A 24091-nucleotide genomic window follows, 5' to 3' on the forward strand; every position below is an offset into this window, starting at 1 on the left:
CTGGCACCCTGATCTCAGACTTCCAGTCTGCAAAACTCCGAGAAATAAAAAGTTGTTGTTCAAGCCACTCAGTCTATCATATTTTGTTATGGCACTCCAAGCTGACAAAGACAACTGTGTAGTCCTTCTCTACTTCTATCCTCTTATAAATAAGGGCTTATCTCCTTTCAGCAAAAAATTCTATTGCACAAAGCATTCTTTAAGATGCAGAATTGTTCATAACCCCAGTGAATTTCGTTGAAATATGAGGAGTTAGACACTATTTCCAATTTATTGTGCATAGTCCACTCTGGTTTTTTATATGCTTGGAAGACTAAGCTAATTATCTTTTGGTTGCTGGCAACTTCTCAATAAGATATCTGTCAAGTGTAATACTATCACAAGGCATTTGGCAACATAAGGAAGAGCAAATTATGTAAGAAGGATAAATATTTTCCTCCCTGGGATAAGGAAAGAGTGTGAGGAGAAGAAAATCACATTAGTAGTTTAAATGTTCTTTTCTCATGAGAACATTTAAGAACAATAATGTTGGTTTATACCAGTTAACACTGAGTTCCCAGAGATGATGCAATTCTGTTTCAATGTAGCCTTTCCTCTGACAGCTCAAAGCTTGGCTTAGTCCCAGAACCATTTTCTAGCCTGATGTGACTCCTCAGTTCAGCTCTGAAGAGAAGAGGCTTTCAAAGGTTTTTCATCTTGCATTATGTTTTTAGAAGTTTCGTGTCAAGGTGTCTAGAGGCCCTCATATACCAGATTCTTTAAATAATATTCTTTTGAGTTAATTGCCTTGGAAAATACAGCCAGCCATTAGAATAGGAATATGATATCTTAGTCTATAACAAATGCACCCCATAAATATATACACCTACTGTGTACCCACACAGTCATAGATGGCTGTTATTATTTTGAGGTGTGTATCTGTTCCCCCAAAACTCATATGTTGAAACCCTATCCACAATGTTATGGTATTAGGAGGTAGGGCCTTTGGGAGGTAATTTAAATTAGAAGAGGTCTATGGGGGCTGGGCGCTGTGGCTCACACCTGTAATCCCAGCACTTTGGGAGGCCGAGCGGGTGGATCACAAGGTCAGGAGATCGAGACCATCCTGGCTAACACTGTGAAACCCCGTCTCTACTAAAAATACAAAAAATTAGCCGGGCGTGGTGGCAGGCGCCTGTAGTCCCAGCTACTAGAGAGGCTGAGGCAGGAGAATGGCATGAACCCGGGAGGCAGAGCTTGCAGTGAGCTGAGATCGTGCCACTGCACTCCAGCCTGGGCAACATAGCGAGACTCTGTCTCAAAAAAAAAAGAGGTCTATGGGACTAATGCCCTTATAGGAGTCATTAGAGAGCTTGCTGCTTACTGCTCTCTGCTCTCCACCATAAAAGGATACAGCAAGGATCAGCAGTCTGCAACCCTGAAAAAGGAGCTCACCAGAGTTCCACCATGCTGGCACCCTGGTCTCAGGCATCTAATCTCAGAACTGTGAGAAATAAATTTCTGTTGTTCATTAGCCACCCAGTCTATGGTAGTGTGTGTGTGTGTGTGTGTGTGTGTGTGTGTGTGTGTTTAACTTTAAAAATCTTGTACATGCTTTATTTGTGTTTTTTAATTTTTTAATCATCTTGAAAATGGGAGGATCGCTTACTGTAAAGTGAGTGCCTTATAACCATTGCTGCCTTATTCTAAAAGATAAATCACTATGGATTGCATACAGCTTCAAATAAGAAAAAAAATTTGTAACAGTACATTATAATTTTTATAGGACATTGTTATGGACTGATAACAGATACAGTAAGACAGCTAGCTGAAAGAGGCATAATCCTAGCATCTACTATTATTTAGATAGAATCTATCTATCTATCTATCTATCTATCTATCTATCTGTCATTTTTCTTGAAACAGGGTCTCACTCTGTCACCCATGCTGGAGTACAGTAGCACAATCATGGCTCACTGCAGCCTCGACCTCCCAGGGCTCAAGCGATCCTCCCATCTCAGACGCCTGAGTAGCTGGGAGTACAGGCACATGCCACCATGCCTGGCTAGAATCTGTATACTTTAGAAGCTTTTAGTTCTGGTACGGAGGTGGCAAATAAATGACTTGTCAGACTGTACCCATCTGACATTGCCCTGCTGAGCCCCAAAGCATCTTTGGAATCCTCCATACAGCACGAGACTACATTGGTAGGAGCCTTGACTCAGGAGTCAGGACAGAGCTGGGTTTGAGTAACTACTGTAGTTACGAGAGATATGATCTTGGACAGGGTGCTAATCTCTAAGCCTTAGTGTTAGTAAACAAGGGCAGTTGTACCCATCTCACAGGGCTCTCATAAGCTTAAATGGGAGAACACATACACCTTCCTTAGCACAGGACTCTGGTACAAGCAGCTCTATAATATTAGCTCTTCTTTCTCTTGCTATTGTTATTAATAACTAACAAGATTTGGCAAAAGATAAAATTATTAGAGAACCACTTCCTCCCCCATAGTGCTTAGATCCTGTCTGGGGAAAGTCCTAATTTATTAGGTTTCAAAGTTGCTAGCTAATCAGCCTCTATCCCTTCTGGTACAACATATTTGAGTGAGTACACGGTCACCCACCCAATTGGGCTACAGCTTTCTGACTCAAGCCCAGCTTTCCCCGTAACCTCTATCTCCTCCAGACTTTTCTGCTCAAATGGTGCTGATTCTGACATAGGGGAAGGTACTGTTACTGTTGTTTGCTGCATCCTCTCAACAGATAATGGGTTGAACATTGTCGAACACAACTTATTACCTTCTCCCGTCTTGTAGTAGAGTTTAAGGATATTGCATGCAAGAGCTGCTATTCCATTCAACTTCTCAAGCAGATCTTAAACACATTCATTTTTCCCATATACATGCTGCCTTCCCTCTAAGTTCATACACCATTCTATCTTGCCTGGAACTCTAAAATAGCCTCACAAAATGAGCTCTCTCCTCCCACTTTTGCTTCTGTTCCAACCAGTTGTCATCTTGGCCAGTTTGATTTTTTTTTTAAAGCAATCCTGACCATAATCCATGCTTAGAATTCCTCAATGCACCTCTAGACTCTTGTAATAAAATACAAACTCAAGAACACTGCCTACATGGCCCTGTATGAACTTGCCTCTCCCCATCTCTCCATTCCCACCACATACACCTCTCCTCCCCTCTTTATATGTCATAGCTATTGCTGGCATCTTTCAGATCTTCAAATAAGCCTACCTCCTTCCTTTCTCAGGGGGCTTTGCACATGCTGCTCCTTTTTCCTAAAATGTCCTTGCCCCAACTCTTAACCTGCTTGAGTCTGATTCCCTTTTTAGGTTTCAATTCAACTGTTGCTTCCTCAGAAAACTCTTCACTCACCAACGCAAAGATAAATTGTATCCCAAATGTTATTCTCTTTACACTATTTGTAATTTTGCTCTATAGAGCTTAGCATGATTTGTAATTCTATATGAACTCTACATTTACTTGTTTACCGTTTCTCTCTCCTTCTATATTGTATAACGCTTGTGTGTGTAATCACTCTTTCAAAGTAAAAATCTTAACCAGATTCTGTTTAGCCTCACAAGCAGGACCTTTCCCTTCCTTGCCATCACAATGCCAGGGTAGATTGTGAGAGTCCCATCCTCCTTTTGTGGGGTGGGTACGTACTGTGTCCTGGTATTTTACAAATGGGGTACCTGTCTTCATGAGGTAAGTTGGTTGAGGTATGAACTAAGTCTAGGGACAGGAAAGTGTTACTTGAGCTGGGTGGTTGCTGGGAATATTTGTTAGCATAGGCTAAAATTTCTGTAACACACTACAACATTTTAGTGGCTTAACACCATAAAAGTTCACTTCTGCTCAAGTAAGAGTCCAATGCAGGTATGTGTGATCAGGGTGGCTACCTTGTGTCATTTTCTTCCAAGCAGGGACTCAGGGACACAAGCTTTTTCTACCTTTTGGTTTTGCTGTCCCCTAGGGATTTAGAGCCTGTCATCTCTACCTGGCAGAACAGGAAAGAGGGAGCATGGAGGGAGCATAGACAAAACAGGAAGAAGTGTGTATCACTTCTATCCACATTCCATTGGCCAGAACTCACTGGTTCACAATAGGGTTTCATCTAATAGCAAGGGAGGCTGGGAAATATAGTCTAACTCTATGCCCAGGAAGAAGAGGCAGGCATGGATTTTGGATGCCCAGGGAAAGAACGATTGGTATAGGCCCAGGTGTGGGTGATAAGCGGTGATCCCTATGTCTTGGCAAATCCACCCTTTGCTACCATGAGGTTCCTGGTTCCACAGCTCTCCTCACTATGGTCCTTGACAGAGACACATCTTATGCTCATCCATTGTCCCTTTCAGGTCTGGATTGCTCCCTTCTGTCCTCCCTGGTCTTTCTAGAGTAATTCCCCATCTCTTCCATTCAACGCACACTATTTTTTTTTTTTTCGTTTAGTGGGGTATTTGTGTGAGGTGAAGCCCTGCTCATGGTAACATTTTTGTGTAGCCTAATATCACTTCTATTCCCCTAACACAGAAGAAGTCTTGTCTTTTTTCTCTGCTCATTGCCTCAAGGGAGAAATATAATAACATTGGTTGATATTTCAAAAACATTGCCCCACAGCAAATATAAATTCAATGAGGATAGAGACCATATCTGTATGTTCACCACAATGTCCCCAACATCTACCAAATGGGCTCAAATATTTATGAATAAATAAATGCATAAATAAGTACATGAATGTTGTAAGAAGTGGCACTACTGACAGATACCACTTGCATCCTGATTCTTCGTACCTTCTCAGACCTTCCTTCTCAAACGGGTGTGAGCAGTGCTCTTAATGGCCCTGGAAGGAGACTGGAGGGAGCTATAGTTATGGGGCCCTGACTCTGCAGGCTTGACATTTTGTCTGTAACTTCACACACACACATATTACACATACACTTGGAAAGAAAAATAATCCAAGAAAATAGGATAAGGAACGATAACAAAGGAAAAAAGAATAAAAACCCTTAGCTCCTGGCACATAGGAGTCCTGTAAATGTTTATTGAATGAGAGACAAGAAGAAATACCCAGTTTCTTCTATGCAAGGACTGAAATGGGCAATTCATGGACATGAATTGAATTCTAATAGTCTTTCCTTGAAAATTTATTAAAGAGAGCTAGACTGTATCCTGATCATAATGTCACTCTTGTTCTTTAGCAATAGACTAGGTTTATTTTTCTAGCTGGTCTCTCTGACTCTCACAGACTGCGTACGTGCTGCAGAATGCTGGGGGAAAATTAACTCTCATGACTGGGAGAGGCAGAGTCAGGAGTCACTGAGATGGTTCCCATCCAACGTGGAGAAGGAAAGCAATGTGGCTTAAGATGGATTCATTATCACTGGTGGAAGAAGTGATTTTTTAGGGTGGAGGAAGAATTTAATGAAAAGCTTCTTTGGGGGGATAACTTCTCATCAATTTTTGTGGCAGATGCTGCAGGTTGGCACTCTCACCTCTCATATGAAACCCTTTTCTTTCTAACCTCTGTCATTTTGTAGGCTGAAAAACAAAAGTACTCACTTTCCTAGCCTCTCCTGTAGCCAAAGGAGGTCATCTGACACAATTTTGGACAAGGAGACGTAAGTTACCCCTCCCCTATTTTTCCTTTTTTTCCTACCTTAAATTGATAAGATAGCAGCCGTAGCTGCCTGAATTCATCCATTTGCATTGCTATAGAGGAATACCCGAGACTGTGTACTCTATGGAGAAAAAAGTTTTATTTTGGCTCATGGTTCTGCAGGATGTACAAGAAGTGTGGTGCCAGCATCAGTACCTGCTCTGGGTCAGGGCTTCAGGAAGTTTACAATCATGGTGGAAGGTGAAGGAAGAGCAGGCAGTGTTACATGGCAAGAGGGGGAGCAAGGGGTGGGTGAAGGCACCACACTCTGTTAAACAACCAGATCTCATGTGAACTCAGAGGGAGAACTCACTCATTACCATAAGGAGGGCATGAAGACATTCATCAGGAATCTGCCCCCATAACCAAAACACCTCCCACCATGTCCCAACTCCAACATTGGAGGTCATATTCAACAGGAGACTTGGAGGGAACAAATTTCCAATCCATATCACTGCCATTTTGTGACTATGAGAGAGAGGCCAAAAGACCCACAGAGAAGTGGACCCTGACATTATTGAAGCACTGAACCAATGCTAGCAGACACCTGACTTCAGATTTCTCTTATGCAAGGAAACATAAAGCCCTCTTTGTTTAAGGCATTGAAATGAAGGATTCTGTTACTTGCAGCCCAAGTATTTCTAACAGCTCTTCTTTTAAAAATTTTCCATTTCCCACTTAAAATAAATATACCAGCTATATGTAGTAAATATGAAAAAATTCTCACCAAGATTAAAACAAGATTTTAAAAGACAGAATTGCGGAGTAGGGAACATAATTTTGAAAAAGAAGAAAGTTGGAGGACTCACACTGTCTGATTTTAAGACTTATTCTTAAACTAAGCATTTATAAAGTCTTTACAAATCAAAACATTGTTATTGGTAAAAGGACAGATACACAGATGAATGGAACACAATACAAAGCCCCAATGATATGGAATTGCAAAGGAGTCATCACTCTGGAGCATTTCTGCAGAGGAAATATCGAACCACCCAAATTACCTCTTCTACTTAAAGTATCAAGTCAGCTCAATTCCCAGGGAGCTTTTCTTAACCTGAGATAAATTCTAATCCTAATGAATATGTTTAAAGGTAAATTCTGTGTTAGCCTTGCCTTGAATAGGCTACATTTCTCCACTTTCAGGTCTTCTTTCTATTCACCCCTATCTCCCTGCCGCTTTAGGAAAATTCCTCTGCCTCCATGTGAGCTAGTCCTGGTGCTGTCAATTCTCAGTATACCTCTAGTCTGGAGCAGCTACAAGGATTGTTTTTTCCAGTGTGCCCAATGCCCTTCTCCTGCCTTTACTAATTTTGTTTTCTTATAGACACATCATCCATCCTCTCCCTCAGTTGTTTTTGGCTTCATAGTCTCCTTCTTTCTGATTCCTTTCCCTAAACTATGAATCAGATCATGCCATCCCCTTGCTTAAAAATGACAGTGGATGCTCCTTTCCGGGGTTTGTTCCTTCAACCCAGCAAAGGCCTCATGGGCTTCACCTTATGAGTCTCCTGTCAGGACCACTCTGCCCTCACATCTCAGCATGTCCAGCCCTGTCTGGACATTAAGATCTCCACCGGGCATGGTGGCTCATGCCTGTAATCCTAGCACTTTGGGAGGCTGAGGCAGGCAGATCACCTGAGGTAAGGGGTTCGAGACCAGCCTGGCCAACATGGCGAAACCCTGTCTCTACTAAAAATACAAAAATTAGCCAGGTGTGATGGCACATGCCTGTAATCCCAGCTACTCGGGAGGCTGAGGCAGGAGAATTGCTTGAACCCAGGAGGCAGAGGTTGCGGTGAGCCAAGATCTTACCACTGCACTCCAGCCTGGGCAGCAGAGTGAGACTCCATCTCAAAAAAAAAAAAAAAAAAAAAAAGGATCTCCAGCCAGAGGACATCTCCTCAAGCAGGTCTTCCTGACTGCTCTTCCCCTACATTCTGCCTTACTTCACCCAGTTTTTTTTTTACCTATTTTTAATGATCTTGTTCATTAACTTCTTTGCTCTCTTATTCGTTATCTCCATTTGCTTAAAGCTCCATGGGAACAAAATTCTTTTTTCTTTTTTTATTATTATACTTTAAGTTTTAGGGTACACGTGCACAATGTGCAGGTTAGTTACATATGTATATATGTGCCATGTTGGTGTGCTGCACCCATTAACTCGTCATTTAGCATTAGGTATATCTCCTAATGCTATCCCTCCCCCCTCCCCCCACCCCACAACAGTCCCCAGAGTGTGATGTTCCCCTTCCTGTGTCCATGTGTTCTCATTGTTCAATTCCCATCTATGAGTGAGAACATGTGGTGTTTGGTTTTTTGTCCTTGCGATAGTTTGCTGAGAATGATGATTTCCAATTTCATCCGTGTCCCTACAAAGGACATGAACTCATCATTTTTTATGGCTGCATAGTATTCCATGGTGTATATGTGCCACATTTTCTTAATCCAGTCTATCTTTGTTGGACATTTGTGTTGGTTCCAAGTCTTTGCTATTGTGAATAGTGGCGCAATAAACATACGTGTGCATGTGTCTTTATAGCAGCATGATTTATAGTCCTTTGGGTATATACCCAGTAACGGGATGGCTGGGTCAAATGGTATTTCTAGTTCTAGATCCCTGAGGAATCGCCACCCTAACTTCCACAATGGTTGAACTAGTTTACAGTCCCACCAACAGTGTAAAAGTGTTCCTGTTTCTCCACATCCTCTCCAGCACCTGTTGTTTCCTGACTTTTTAATGATCGCCATTCTAACTGGTGTGAGATGGTATCTCATTGTGGTTTTGATTTGCATTTCTCTGATGTCCAGTGATGATGAGCATTTTTTCATGTGTCTTTTGGCTGCATAAATGTCTTCTTTTGAGAAGTGTCTGTTCATATCCTTTGCCCACTTTTTGATGGGGTCGTTTGTTTTTTTCTTGTAAATTTGTTTGAGTTCATTGTAGATTCTGGATATTAGCCCTTTGTCAGATGAGTAGATTGTGAAAATTTTCTCCCATTTTGTAGGTTGCCTGTTCACTCTGATGGTAGTTTCTTTTGCTGTGTAGAAGCTCTTTAGTTTAATTAGATCCCATTTGTCAATTTTGGCTTTTGTTGCCATTGCTTTTGGTGTTTTAGACATGAAGTCCTTGCCCATGCCTATGTCCTGAATGGTATTGCCGAGGTTTTCTTCTAGGGTTTTTATGGTTTTAGGTCTAACATTTAAGTCTTTAATCAATCTTGAATTAATTTTTGTATAAGGTGTAAGGAAGGGATCCAGTTTCAGCTTTCTACATATGGCTAGCCAGTTTTCCCAGCACCATTTATTAAATAGGGAATCCTTTCCCCATTGCTTGTTTTTGTCAGGTTTGTCAAAGATCAGATAGTTGTAGATATGCGGCGTTATTTCTGAGGGCTCTGTTCTGTTCCAGCGATCTATATCTCTGTTTTGGTACCAGTACCATGCTGTTTTGGTTACTGTAACCTTGTAGTGTAGTTTGAAGTCAGGTAGCGTGATGCCTCCAGCTTTGTTCTTTTGGCTTAGGATTGACTTGGCGATGTGGGCTCTTTTTTGGTTCCATATGAACTTTAAAGTAGTTTTTTCCAATTCTGTGAAGAAAGGCATTGGTAGCTTGATGGGGATGGCATTGAATCTATAAATTACCTTGGGCAGTATGGCCATTTTCACTATATTGATTCTTCCTACCCATGAGCATGGAATGTTCTTCCATTTGTTTGTATCCGTTTTTATTTCAGTGAGCAGTGGTTTGTAGTTCTCCTTGAGGAGTTCCTTCACGTCCCTTGTAAGTTGGATTCCTAAGTATTTTATTCTCTTTGAAGCAATTGTGAATGGGAGTTCACTCATGATTTGGCTCTCTGTTTGTCTGTTATTGGTGTATAAGAATGCTTGTGATTTTTGTACATTGATTTTGTATGCTGAGACTTTGCTGAAGTTGCTTATCAGCTGAAGGAGATTTTGGGCTGAGACAGTGGGGTTTTCTAGATATACAATCATGTCATCTGCAAACAGGGACAATTTGACTTCCTCTTTTCCTAATCGAATACCCTTTATTTCCTTCTCCTGCCTAATTGCCCTGGCCAGAACTTCCAACACTATGTTGAATAGGAGTGGTGAGAGAGGGCATCCCTACCAAGGAAATGGAAAACAAAAAAAGGCAGGGGTTGCAACACTAGTCTCTGATAAAACAGACTTTAAACCAACAAAGATCAAAAGAGACCAAGAAGGCCATTACATAATGGTAAGGGGATCAATTCAACAAGAAAAGCTAACTATCCTAAATGTATATGCACCCAATACAGGAGCACCCAGATTCATAAAGCAAGTCCTGAGTGACCTACAAAGAGAGACTCCCACACAATAATAATGGGAGACTTTAACACCCCACTGTCAACATTAGACAGATCAATGAGACAGAAAGTTAACAAGGATACCCAGGAATTGAACTCAGCTCTGCACCAAGCGGACCTAATAGACATCTACCGAACTCTCCACCCCAAATCAACAGAATATACATTTTTTTCAGCACCACACCACACCTATTCCAAAATTGACCACATACTTGGAAGTAAAGCCCTCCTCAGCAAATGTGAAAGAACAGAAATTATAACAAACTGTCTCTCAGACCACAGTGCAATCAAACAAGAACTCAGGATTAAGAAACTCACTCCAAACCGGTCAACTACATGGAAACTGAACAACCTGCTCCTGAATGACTACTGGGTACATAACGAAATGAAGGCAGAAATAAAGATGTTCTTTGAAACCAACGAGAACCAAGACACAACATACCAGAATCTCTGGGACACATTCAAAGCAGTGTGTAGAGGGAGATTTATAGCACTAAATGCCCACAAGAGAAAGCAGGAAAGATCCAAAATTGACATCCTAACATCACAATTAAAAGAACTAGAAAAGCAAGAGCAAACACATTCAAAAGCTAGCAGAAGGCAAGAAATAACTAAAATCAGAGCAGAACTGAAGGAAATAGAGACAAAAAAAAACTCTTGAAAAAATTAATGAATCCAGGAGCTGGTTTTTTGAAAGGATCAACAAAATTGATAGACCACTAGCAAGACTAATAAAGAAAAAAAGAGAGAAGAATCAAATAGACGCAATAAAAAATGATAAAGGGGATATCACCACCTATCCCACAGAAATACAAACTACCATCAGAGAATACTACAAACACCTCTATGCAAATAAACTGCAAAATCTAGAAGAAATGGATAAATTCCTTGACACATACACTCTCCCAAGACTAAACCAGGAAGAAATTGAATCTCCGAATAGACCAATAACAGGAGCTGAAATTGTGGCAATAATCAATAGCTTACCAACCAAAAAGAGTCCAGGACCAGATGGATTCACAGCCGAATTCTACCAGAGGTACAAGGAAGAACTGGTACCATTCCTTCTGAAACTATTCCAATCAGTAGAAAAAGAGGGAATCCTCCCTAACTCATTTTATGAGGCCAGCATCATCCTGATACCAAAGCCGGGCAGAGACACAACCAAAAAAGAGAATTTTAGACCAATATCCTTGATGAACATTGATGCAAAAATCCTCAATAAAATACTGGCAAACCGAATCCAGCAGCACATCAAAAAGCTTATCCACCATGATCAAGTGGGCTTCATCCCTGGGATGCAAGGCTGGTTCAATGTATGCAAATCAATAAATGTAATCCAGCATATAAACAGAACCAAAGACAAAAACCACATGATTATCTCAATAGATGCAGAAAAGGCCTTTGACAAAATTCAACAACGCTTCATGCTAAAAACTCTCAATAAATTAGGTATTGATGGGACGTATCTCAAAATAATAAGAGCTATCTATGACAAACCCACAGCCAATATCATACTGAATGTGCAAAAACTGGAAGCATTCCCTTTGAAAACTGGCACAAAATTCTTATCTGTTAAAAGTGGACATGTGTCTTTGGCCCATGAGAAAATGAGTTTACCTGGGGGGAAAGATCCATAAGTAGGGTGTCCCTGTTTTCCCAGAACAGTCCAGGTTATTTCCATGTAATTATTAACAGCATTCCTTTTCTTGATCAAATGAGCACCAGCTGATTAATGCATTACATGGTCACCTTGCCTATGTGGTAGAGGAACCCATCCATGAGTAAAGGCCTGGCCATGTGATTGACTGGTACCATTCAAGGCATGGTGAGGGGTTCATCGTGGTGGGGCAGTGGGGGCACTGGTGGTGGAGCGATAGGGCAGGTGGCGCAGTAAGAGAGACTGGATTGGGCTAAATGAAGAGTCTGTGTGCCCTGCCAAGCAGAATTATGACTATGCTTGTTTAAGTGCTCCCCTTGCATGCTTATGAAAGGACTGTTCATTATGCTTTGCTTTAGAGAGATTTTGGAACTGGGTTTTCCCAGCTGAAATATTTGTTTTGTATGTTAAAACAATAAGATCCTCTATTTAACTTTAAATTTACATTAATTAAAATTAATTACAATTTAAACATTCAGTTTCTTTGTTGCAGTAGCCACATGTATGGCTAGTAGCCACTGTATCGAACAGTGCAGTTATAAAATTTTTCCATCATCACAGAAAGTTCAACTGGACAGCACTGCTCTAGGCTGTTGCAGATTAATGAGACTAAGGAGGCTTGATAACTAAAGGCAATGTGTCATCCTGGATTGAGTCCTGGACCACAAAAAAAGGACATCAGTAGGACATTTGGTGAAATTTAAATAAGGTCTGTAATAATACTATTGAATCAGTTCTTATTCGATAATTGTACTATAGTATGGAAGATGTACATATTTGGGGCCAAACTTGTTATTATCTTGCAACTTTTTCATAAGTCTGAAGTTATTTCAAAACGAAAAGTTAAAAAAATGTATACATACACATTTATTTCTCTAAAAGCATGTGTACCACCTGTTAGGTAGGACAGTGAGAATACTTAGACCAGTGCTTCTCAAATTTGAACAGGCATACAAATCATCTGAAGATCTTTTTAAAATGCAGGTTCTAGTTTAGTAGTTCTGGGGTGGCTCTTGAGAGTCTACATTTTTTTCTTTCTTTTTTTCTTTTTAAAGACAGAGTCTTGCTCTGTCATTCAGGCTGGAGTGCATTGGCACAATCATAACACACTGCAGCCTAGAAATCCTGGGCTCAAGCAATCCTCCTGCTTCATCCTTTCATGTAGCTGGGATTACAGGCATGTGCCACTACATCTGACTAATTTTTTAATTTTTTTGTAGAGTCAGGGTCTTGCTATGTTGCTCAGGCTGGTCTCAAACTCCTGGACTCAAGCGCTGCTCTCCTACCTGAGCCTCCGAGTTGCTGCTCAGATTTTGCTTTTTGATCAGGTGATGCCTGTTTTGCTATCCAAGGAACATAGCTTGAATAGCAAGGTTTTAAAGAACTGTGAAAATTGTGATTCTTATATATATAAACCCAATGGTAAGGCTGCTAACATTGGAATGTTATTCATAAAGGCAGTAGTTGACCTTATTATTTGGATTGGTCATGTTCCATGAATAGAGTGGAAATGTGATTGCTGGTATGCTGAAACAGTATCTTCTCATTAACTATTAGATCCTGGTAGTTATGTTTTGCTGTTTAGTTTCGGTTTTGTGCACTCACAAGGGAAAGAAAAAATCAAGAAATCTCATGGTTCGATTTCAGCATGCATCAACTGATTTTCTTATTTATGGAAGTCTAACTGTAACATAAAACATTCCAATGTACAGGTGTTGAGGTTTTTGAATAGCTTCCATTTATAGCTTGGGTCTAACTCTTCTCGCCTAAGGGGAGGCGAGCTGGAGGACTGGTAGATAAATATATATTACATAAATCTTTGTGTGCTCCCCACACAAGATGGTTACTTTTGGGTTTTCCAGATTATTCAAGTGTTTTATTTTTCCCCTTTGGGGTTTATACCACAGATGAGAACAGGGTGAGTTGCCCTTCTCAGAGACTTATTCCAGTATCAAGCCTACTTTTTCTTTCCTCATATTTTCAAGCCTTTCTTTTGTCCTTCAAATATAAAACTTACATAATGACTCTAACATTGGAAGTTTTACATGGATTTCATTTTGCTGCTGATTTTATTTCTGGTCCTCTCTCCTGGTACCTTGTTTCCTTGGTTGTTTTATGGTTTTAAAAATTTATTTATTTATACCGTTTATTTTTCTTGATCTGTGAAAATTTTTTTGAGGCCTAGGATGAAGATGAGTTCCTCCAGAAAGAAAGTTTATCTGCCTTTATTAAATTCCTTGGTGATACTACTGCTCTGGAACTACTGTGAATTATCAGCTTACAAGTTTCGGAATTTTGTTGTAAATTCCTGTAAGGGATGGTTCATGATTATGAATGCTCATGTGGGACATTTTTCTCCTTCCTCCCACCATCAAGGTTTGAGTCTGGGCAATTTTCTTTAAAGCCTCCTTTAAAAGAAACTAGGGGTTAGGTTTATTTCTAGTTTACCCTTATATTGAAAATGCAGCCCTTTGGAGACTTGCTCAGTGGAGGTGGGGGTTGGGAGTCATGTTAGACTTTCAAGACCTAGACTTTGTTATCTGTTCTCAGAGACCTGAGAGGCTAGGAACACTGATGTTCAAGTTCACCCAGTATACAGCAACTGGCATCAGAGTGAAACCCCTTCCACTGCTCTCATTACTCTCTTGGCTCCTTATTCATTTAGGGATTTTTTTTTTTTTTTTTTTTTTTTTGCCTAAGTAAGTTTATGAATTAACCAAATATAATGGCTTTACCTTCAACATGCAGGCTTTCAAAAATCTATCACTTTGGGTCCAAATTTTGGCTCTGGGATTTCAAAACTAGGCTTTCAAGATGAGGAATGCCTTTCTTTTGGCCTCTTGTCTTTGGTGCAAAGCAGTTGCAATTCTCCTTCTGTAATCGGTGCTCTTCACGACCATACCTCCCTGAAACAAAGAAGGGCTTAGCTTCAATATATATTTGTTTTAAACCTGGAAGCAGATGTAGGGTAAACAAACAAACTGTAAGCGATAGAAACATTAGTTAATGTAAAATTATTTATTTGCTATAAAGATATATTTGACTATTTCTGGTATTTCAGCATAGGGATTACTGATAATTTATTTAACTAATCTCTTATTATTGAGCATTTTAATTCTTCCCATTTTTTCCCTGCTATCCGTGTTGCAACAGTGAACATTCTTGTACATTTATTTTGTATATACGTGCAACATTTCATCAGGATAAATGTCTACAAGTAAAATTGCTGGGTCGGATGGTATGTCCATTTACAATGCTGATGTTTATTGGTTAGGGCAATATTAAACAGTAATGATCATCTTTTACTAAAGCAAGCATGTGTTTCCGCATCAATTTCAGCGTAACGCCCTTGTATTTTGCACACACAATTCTGCCCTCTATCAGAAAGACTTTTAGATTAGATATCCAACTGTATAATTATCTTTTGTATTCCCAGATTTCACTTTAACAATCTTTTTTTTTTTTTTTTTTGAGACAGAGTCTCGCTCTGTCGCCCAGGCTGGAGTGCAGTGGCACAATCTACGCTCACTGCTCACTGCAAGCTCCGCCTCCCAGGTTCACGCCATTCTCCTGCCTCAGCCTCCCGAGTAGCTGGGACTGCAGGCGCCCACCACCACGCCCAGCTAATTTTTTTGTATTTTTAGTAGAGACGGGGTTTCACCATGTTAGCCAGGATGGTCTCCATCTCCTGACCTCGTGATCCGCCCACCTCGGCCTCCCAGAATGCTGAGATTACAGGCATGAGCCACCGCGCCTGGCCTTTAACAATCTTTAATAACTGTACTTAGAGGAATTCATGGATTGTTAGCAGTGATACAACTTCTGTGTAAATTTTAAGCTATTTAATGATCCTAGATGGATTCTCAGTTTGCACTTCTCATTTTTTTAGACAGGAGTACCAGTGACTACAAACTTATGGATAGAGTTATGTGTTAACTCTGAATTAAAGTCAGTCTTTAAGTGCTGTTTTGAATCATACACTAAAATCATAGCATATTAGAGTTCTAAGGGTTCTTATAGGTCTGTAACCAGAGTGCCGCAGTTTATAGTTTGGAATGCAAATAAGGCACTGCTCAGGAGAGGTCCCAAAGTGCAACACGTGAGCCTCACATGCCAAATGAACAGGAAACTGCTTTTCTTTGGGAGCCCCCTCCCCTGATATTCCTAGGGCCAGTTCTGGCCACTTCCATTTCAAATCCTGATGTCTCAACTCAGACACCAGGAGTGTCTCTGATGCCCCACAAGAAGCTGGTGGCTCCAGAGGAAGCTGCTTGTGTAGACCCTGCCTTGGACGACTGTTCTTTTCTAGGGAGCCAGAGAGAAGATCCCCAGCCTTTGGTTAAGTTCAGCCAGGAGAGGGCTCCTGTGAGACCTGGCCTGGCCTCCCATCATTAGATTCAATTCACTCACATAGCCACTTCTCTAGGACTCAAATCTGCCATCTGATTCTCGGGTTGGGTCTAGACCCAGTGTGCACTGTCTTACAGCTCCCAAAGCACATTCCTTTTCAAACGCCTAAGTCTGCAGAGGCTGGACTGGTGATCCTATGTTTTCTCTTTGGTAAGGGCTTATCTTAGGATCTCGTGGCCCTTTCCTGACTCCAGGCCTTGCTCAGGGCCACCCCTAGTCCACCCTGACTAGTTTTAATTTTAGAGACAAAGTGTAGGGGTCTTGATCCCTTCCTCTAGGAGAGTCTTGGGCTCCAAATGCAAATTTGACTACTCCCCTTCTCACCCCAGCAATCTTCAGGCTCTACATCTCAGCATTTTCTTTCTTTCTCACACAGAGATATGAAATTCCATTTTACCCAGCCATCCTACTGGAGAGCATTTAAGTCCAGTGCCCTCATTTTAAAAATGAGGAAACCAAAGCACAGAAAAGTTACTTACCTAAGATGACACACTTGGTCACAATAGATCAGAGGCAAGAATTCTTGTTGTCTAAATCATAATATAGGACTCTGTTATTTCCACTGAAATGTTTCTGTTTTGTGAGTTTTTTTCCAGTGAATTTTGAAATCCTGAGCCACATTCTGTCTCACATTCCTGGCCACATTCCACACTGCCCAGCTGAAATATGCTCAAACTTGCTGGGTGCTTTTATGATTTACCTAGTGGTGATTTCCAGAGTCAAAGCCAAACCACTCATTAAAAGCAGCCACTATTTTGGAAAGCCCACATGATTGTTCCCCTTCATTAGAATGAATAATCAAGAGCTAGCACTGAGCATATTTGTTGCCCTAGAATGTGCTTTGCTGCCTCTCTGTGACCCAGAGAATCTAGAAAATACTTATGCTGCAGCCCAGCATTTGAGGTATGTTTCCCTTCCCATAGTTCCCATGGACTCTCCATTGGGTCAAACCTTTTGGAGGTATTTCTGATTCTATTTCATCCTGAACATTTGCCACTTGATGAGCAGTGTAGGGAAGAAACTGGAAAACAGAGAGTAAAGAAATCTATCTGAAAAGTGGTCTCAATACCCTGGGTCTTGGTTCTTCACCCCTGGGGCTGTCATCCTTACCTGTGGCATGGAGTTCTCAGCATATGCCTATTCCTCAGGCTGATAGCTAGTTTTGGGTGGGGAATGCAGTTTGAGAAGGTACTAGTCTGGAGGGAGGGGGTGTAGGAGGAGAGTTCATATTTAAAATTCCTTCTCTTGAGGAATTCAATTTCAAAAAGCCCAGAGTTCTGCTATATATTGGCAGAATACAATTAGTTGGCTTGGCTAATGTTGGGTCAGGACTGCCCTTTTAACAGAACACCGTTCTCCAAAGACAGCCTTTAGCATTCTTTGACAAAGATCTTTAAGGAAATCACTTTCATCTTGATTTTTTTTATTAGTTAACATGCAGCGAAAACTTAACCGTTGGTTTACATCTGTAGATTCTACTAAAAATTCAATCTGTTATCCACATCAGATCACATGTCTCTAAGAGAGAGGTTCTTTGCCCTGGCTGCACATTGAATCACCTGGGGAACTTAAAAAACTTCCAACGTCCTGGCCACACCTCAGAGCAATTAAATCAGACCCTCTGGAAATGGGACCCAAGCATCAGTACTTTTTCATTATTTGTTGTTAATTTTTGTAGGGATGGGCTCTTGCTATGTTGCCCAGGCTGATCTCAAACTCCTGACCTCAAGTGATCCTCCTGCCTCAGCCTCCCAAAGTGCTGGGATTACAAGCATGAGCCACCAAACCCAGCCGGCATTCTGGAGTCCAAGTTGAGAACCACTGCCTAAAAGTTGCTACCTGAAGGCTATAATTTGCCTGAATGCTACACTCTAAGCTTTGCGAGGGCAGAAACTGGTTTGTTTACTCTCACTCATCCTCAATGCCTGTGATACCTCCTGACCCATAGTTGGAGTTTAACGAATATTTATTCATTAAATGAATTAATGCTTGTTCAGAATTTCATTAAGATGTAGATAAAGAAATGCTCTGCCTTTTGCCTGGGAGTGATGTTGGAAATCCTTAATCACTTATACGGCCATGACACTTGATCAGAGTGTTAGAGGCCTCTATGTGCCCTGAAACCTTAAATTATAGGATCATGGGAGGTTTAGTGTCCTGGTGGAGGGGCATCATTGGCCAGAACTGTTGGGACACTTTGGGGAGATCAGCACAATAGCTATTTACCAACTGGAATGAAAGCATTTTAATATTTTAACAATAGGTCCAGCTGTACACAGCGGTGGGAGAGCAGGCTACCATGGTTTACGTTTTGATCCTTCTGCTGTTAACAGGGGATTTCCTAGTCTGAAAGGCTATATGTGTTATAGCTATATGTGTTCTGTTGCTGTCTTACCTCTCAGACTTCACCTTATATCACTCCCCTGACCCTCTTCTCGGCAACACTGGCCTTCTCTGTGTTTCTTCAACACGGCTAAGCTCCTTCTTGCCTTAGGGCCTTTGCTCTTGCTATTCAGTCTGCTGGATTATTTGCCCAATGGGAGGAGCTTCAAAGTCATGTTACAAAGGGCATAGATTCAAAGAAGGGATGGCAGTAGCCATTTCTGTTACTCTACCACGTGGCCCCTTCATGTAAATGCTCAGCATCTCAGATTTCTTCTTCATCCCTCTTTTCCTCTCCAAAATGCTACTTGGGTATAATAAAGAAAAAATGTCACTTGTGTGGCATGATAGTCTCAGAGACAAAAAAAGTGTCCCTTCAGTTTCTCTTGGATCGTCTCTGGTCTTAGCTAGAGAGTGCTTGGTCCCAGCTGCCACTTGCACTTGAGCTTCAGGCTCCATCCCTGGGTGTTCTGTTCATGTTTGGTGCTGATAGTTACGGCTGTTGAAACTTGGATTAGTTATTTTTGTCTTGACTGGGCCTAGATAACTAGGACTCATATCCTTCTCCTTGGCATTGCAGACACTAGAAGCTTTTGCATTTAGGTTTATAATTCAGCTAATGTTCATATTTTTCTTTCTTTTTTTTTTTTTATTATACTCTAAGTTTTAGGGTACATGTGCACATTGTGCAGGTTAGTTACATATGTATACATGTGCCATGCTGGTGCGCTGCACCCACTAATGTGTCATCTAGCATTAGGTATATCTCCCAATGCTATCCCTCCCCCCTCCCCCGACCCCACCACAGTCCCCAGAGTGTGATATTCCCCTTCCTGTGTCCATGTGATCTCATTGTTCAATTCCCACCTATGAGTGAGAATATGCGGTGTTTGGTTTTTTGTTCTTGCGATAGTTTACTGAGAATGATGGTTTCCAATTTCATCCATGTCCCTACAAAGGATATGAACTCATCATTTTTTATGGCTGCATAGTATTCCATGGTGTATATGTGCCACATTTTCTTAATCCAGTCTATCATTGTTGGACATTTGAGTTGGTTCCAAGTCTTTGCTATTGTGAATAGTGCCACAATAAACATACGTGTGCATGTGTCTTTATAGCAGCATGATTTATACTCATTTGGGTATATACCCAGTAATGGGATGGCTGGGTCAAATGGTATTTCTAGTTCTAGATCCCTGAGGAATCGCCACACTGACTTCCACAATGGTTGAACTAGTTTACAGTCCCACCAACAGTGTAAAAGTGTTCCTATTTCTCCGCAGCCTCTCCAGCACCTGTTGTTTCCTGACTTTTTAATGATTGCCATTCTAACTGGTGTGAGATGATATCTCATAGTGGTTTTGATTTGCATTTCTCTGATGGCCAGTGATGATGAGCATTTCTTCATGTGTTTTTTGGCTGCATAAATGTCTTCTTTTGAGAAGTGTCTGTTCATGTCCTTCGCCCACTTTTTGATGGGGTTGTTTGTTTTTTTCTTGTAAATTTGTTTGAGTTCATTGTAGATTCTGGATATTAGCCCTTTGTCAGATGAGTAGGTTGCGAAAATTTTCTCCCATGTTGTAGGTTGCCTGTTCACTCTGATGGTAGTTTCTTTTGCTGTGCAGAAGCTCTTTAGTTTAATTAGATCCCATTTGTCAATTTTGTCTTTTGTTGCCATTGCTTTTGGTGTTTTGGACATGAAGTCCTTGCCCACGCCTATGTCCTGAATGGTAATGCCTAGGTTTTCTTCTAGGGTTTTTATGGTTTTAGGTTTAACGTTTAAATCTTTAATCCATCTTGAATTGATTTTTGTATAAGGTGTAAGGAAGGGATCCAGTTTCAGCTTTCTACATATGGCTAGCCAGTTTTCCCAGCACCATTTATTAAATAGGGAATCCTTTCCCCATTGCTTGTTTTTGTCAGGTTTGTCAAAGATCAGATAGTTGTAGATATGCGGCATTATTTCTGAGGGCTCTGTTCTGTTCCATTGATCTATATCTGTGTTTTGGTACCAGTACCATGCTGTTTTGGTTACTGTAGCCTTGTAGTATAGTTTGAAGTCAGGTAGTGTGATGCCTCCAGCTTTGTTCTTTTGGCTTAGGATTGACTTGGCAATGCGGGCTCTTTTTTGGTTCCATATGAACTTTAAAGTAGTTTTTTCCAATTCTGTGAAGAAAGTCATTGGTAGCTTGATGGGGATGGCATTGAATCTGTAAATTACCTTGGGCAGTATGGCCATTTTCACGATATTGATTCTTCCTACCCATGAGCATGGAATGTTCTTCCATTTGTTTGTGTCCTCTTTTATTTCCTTGAGCAGTGGTTTGTAGTTCTCCTTGAAGAGGTCCTTCACATCCCTTGTAAGTTGGATTCCTAGGTATTTTATTCTCTTTGAAGCAATTGTGAATGGGAGTTCACCCATGATTTGGCTCTCTGTTTGTCTGTTGTTGGTGTATAAGAATGCTTGTGATTTTTGTACATTGATTTTGTATCCTGAGACTTTGCTGAAGTTGCTTATCAGCTTAAGGAGATTTTGGGCTGAGACGAGGGGGTTTTCTAGATAAACAATCATGACGTCTGCAAACAGGGACAATTTGACTTCCTCTTTTCCTAATTGAATACCCTTTATTTCCTTCTCCTGCCTGATTGCCCTGGCCAGAACTTCCAACACTATGTTGAATAGGAGCGGTGAGAGAGGGCATCCCTGTCTTGTGCCAGTTTTCAAAGGGAATGCTTCCAGTTTTTGCCCATTCAGTATGATATTGGCTGTGGGTTTGTCATAGATAGCTCTTATTATTTTGAAATACGTCCCATCAATACCTAATTTATTGAGAGTTTTTAGCATGAAGGGTTGTTGAATTTTGTCAAAGGCTTTTTCTGCATCTATTGAGATAATCATGTGGTTTTTGTCTTTGGCTCTGTTTATATGCTGGATTACATTTATTGATTTGCGTATATTGAACCAGCCTTGCATCCCAGGGATGAAGCCCACTTGATCATGGTGGATAAGCTTTTTGATGTGCTGCTGGATTCGGTTTGCCAGTATTTTATTGAGGATTTTTGCATCAATGTTCATCAAGGATATTGGTCTAAAATTCTCTTTTTTGGTTGTGTCTCTGCCCGGCTTTGGTATCAGAATGATGCTGGCCTCATAAAATGAGTTAGGGAGGATTCCCTCTTTTTCTATTGATTGGAATAGTTTCAGAAGGAATGGTACCAGTTCCTCCTTGTACCTCTGGTAGAATTCGGCTGTGAATCCATCTGGTCCTGGACTCTTTTTGGTTGGTAAACTATTGATTATTGCCACAATTTCAGAGCCTGTTATTGGTCTATTCAGAGATTCAACTTCTTCCTGGTTTAGTCTTGGGAGAGTGTATGTGTCGAGGAATGTATCCATTTCTTCTAGATTTTCTAGTTTATTTGCGTAGAGGTGTTTGTAGTATTCTCTGATGGTAGTTTGTATTTCTGTGGGATCGGTGGCTAGCAAGACTAATAAAGAAAAAAAGAGAGAAGAATCAAATAGACACAATAAAAAATGATAAAGGGGATGTTCATATTTTTCAAACTACTTATTCAGATTTACCAGCATTGAATTACCTTAACTTCCTTGTTCAAAATCAATTGAATATAATAAATGTGTGGTCTATTTCTGGACTCTCAAATCTGTTCCATTAATCTATTTTTGTATCTACCAATACCACACTGTCTTGATTGCTGTACCTTTATAATAAGTTTTGAAATCAGGCAGGATGAGGTTACAACATTATTCTTTTTACTGCTTTTACTTAGGTCTTCTTTAATTTCTGTCAGCAATGTTTTATACATTTTGGTATATATGTCTTTGCTGAATTTATTCCATACATATATATTTAATTATATATAGATACACAATCACATTTTAGTGCTACTATAAGTGCCAGATTTTGTGGCTAAATATATGTAACACAAGACTTATCATTTTCACCATTTTAAGTGTACAGTTCAGTGGAATGAAGTGCATTTACATTTTTGTGCAACCCTCACCCACACCCCATCTCCAGAACGTTTTTTTTCCTAAGCTGAAACTGTACCATGAAACACAAACTTCCCAATTCTTCAACCCTGGCAACTACCATTTTACTTTCTTTCTCTATGATTTTGACTATTATAAGACCTCATTTAAGAGGAATCATACAGCATTTGTTCTTTTGTGGCTGGCATATTCTACTTAGCATGGTGTCTTTAGGGTTCATCCATGTTATAGAATGTGTCAGAATTTCTTTTTTTTTTTTTTTTTTTTTTTTTGAGATGGAGTCTCGCTCTGTTGCCCAGGCTGGAGTGCAGTGGCATGATCTTGACTCACTGCAAACTCTGTCTCCTGGGTTCAAGCAATTCTCCTATCTCAGCCTCCTGAGTAGCTGGGATCACAGGCATCCGCCACCACCCCTAGCTAATTTTTGCATTTTTTAGTAGAGACGGGGTTTCACCACATTGGCCAGGCTAGTCTTGAACTCCTGACCTCAGATGATCTGCCTGCCTTGCCTCCCAAAGTGTTGGGATTATGGGCATGAGCCACTGCGCCCAGCCAGGATTTCTTTTTTTTTAAGGCTGAATAATATTCCATTGTATGTATATACCATATTTTGTTTATCCTTTCATCTATTGATGGATGCAACAATATTGAATTACCATCTATTGATGGAAGTAACACGAGTTGCTTCCACCTTTTGGCTATTGTGAATAATGCTTCTATGAACACAAATGTACAAATATATGCTCGAGTCCTTGCTTTCGATTCTTTCAGATATATACTTTAAATGTGTGTATGTGTGTGTGTGTGGTAGGGGAAGGAGTGTCACAATCCTGTTGGCTGGGGACCTGGATAGAACAAAAACAGAGAAAAGATAAATTGGTCTCTGTCATCCTGGAGCTAGGATATACTCTTCTCTTGCTTTTGGACATCAGAACTCCAGGCTTATCCAGCTTTTGGATTCCAGTATTTACACCAGTGGCCCCCCAGTTTCTCAGGCTTTTAGGCTTGCATTGAGCCATACTAATGGCATCCCAGGGTCTCCAGCTTGTAGATAGCCTGTTATGGGACTTCTCAGCCTTCAGAATTGTGTGTGCCAATTCTCCTAATAAACTCCTCTTTATCTATCTATCTATCTATCTATCTATCTATCTATCTATCTGTCTATCTATCTATCTGTCATCTATCCATCCATCTACCTATTTATCTATCCATCCTATTTGTTGTGTGTCTCTGGAGAACCTTGACTAATTCAAACTTCAATTTACATCCCTGTAGCAGCCACTCTCTATTAGATATCATTGGGTCTTTCCCCAGACATGTGCAGCCTAGCCTTCAACCAATAACCCAAGGAAGACCCACACGGACTTTCCCCTACCTACTTCACAGCCAGTCAACTTTATTCTCTCTAATGCCCTTTGTTCTCTCTGATGCTCTCAGCTTACATTTCATCTCCTTGCATTGTGGTCAGAAAAATGCTGCCAAGCAAAGAGCCAGGGTGAATATGGGTTAAAGCTTACAAATCTTAGGGGTTTCCTTTTGCCAAGGAGTGTATATATATATATATATATATATATATATATATATATAATAATATATGTAATATAAATATATATGATAATATAAATAT

General features: G+C 40.5%; 2 long non-coding RNA genes across 2 annotated transcripts in view; one reads left to right on the plus strand and one right to left on the minus strand.

The window, feature by feature from the left end:
* LOC105374115 (uncharacterized) overlaps positions 1 to 16714 on the minus strand; it is a 28010-nt gene extending 11296 nt beyond the window's left edge. The window contains exons 1-2 of the long non-coding RNA XR_924500.3: positions 16547 to 16714; positions 14393 to 14563 (exon numbers count right to left, since the gene is read on the minus strand). This is a non-coding gene — a long non-coding RNA (uncharacterized LOC105374115). The remainder of the gene's footprint in view (positions 1 to 14392; positions 14564 to 16546) is intronic.
* The window catches only part of NPHP3-AS1 (NPHP3 antisense RNA 1), a 152462-nt gene that overhangs the window by 66252 nt on the left and 62119 nt on the right, over positions 1 to 24091 (plus strand). Inside the window, exons 4-5 of the long non-coding RNA NR_002811.2 lie at positions 5533 to 5613; positions 12219 to 12366. This is a non-coding gene — a long non-coding RNA (NPHP3 antisense RNA 1). The remainder of the gene's footprint in view (positions 1 to 5532; positions 5614 to 12218; positions 12367 to 24091) is intronic.

This window comes from Homo sapiens, chromosome 3 (genome assembly GCF_000001405.40).
Source record: "Homo sapiens chromosome 3, GRCh38.p14 Primary Assembly".
Classification (NCBI taxonomy): Eukaryota; Metazoa; Chordata; class Mammalia; order Primates; family Hominidae; genus Homo; species Homo sapiens.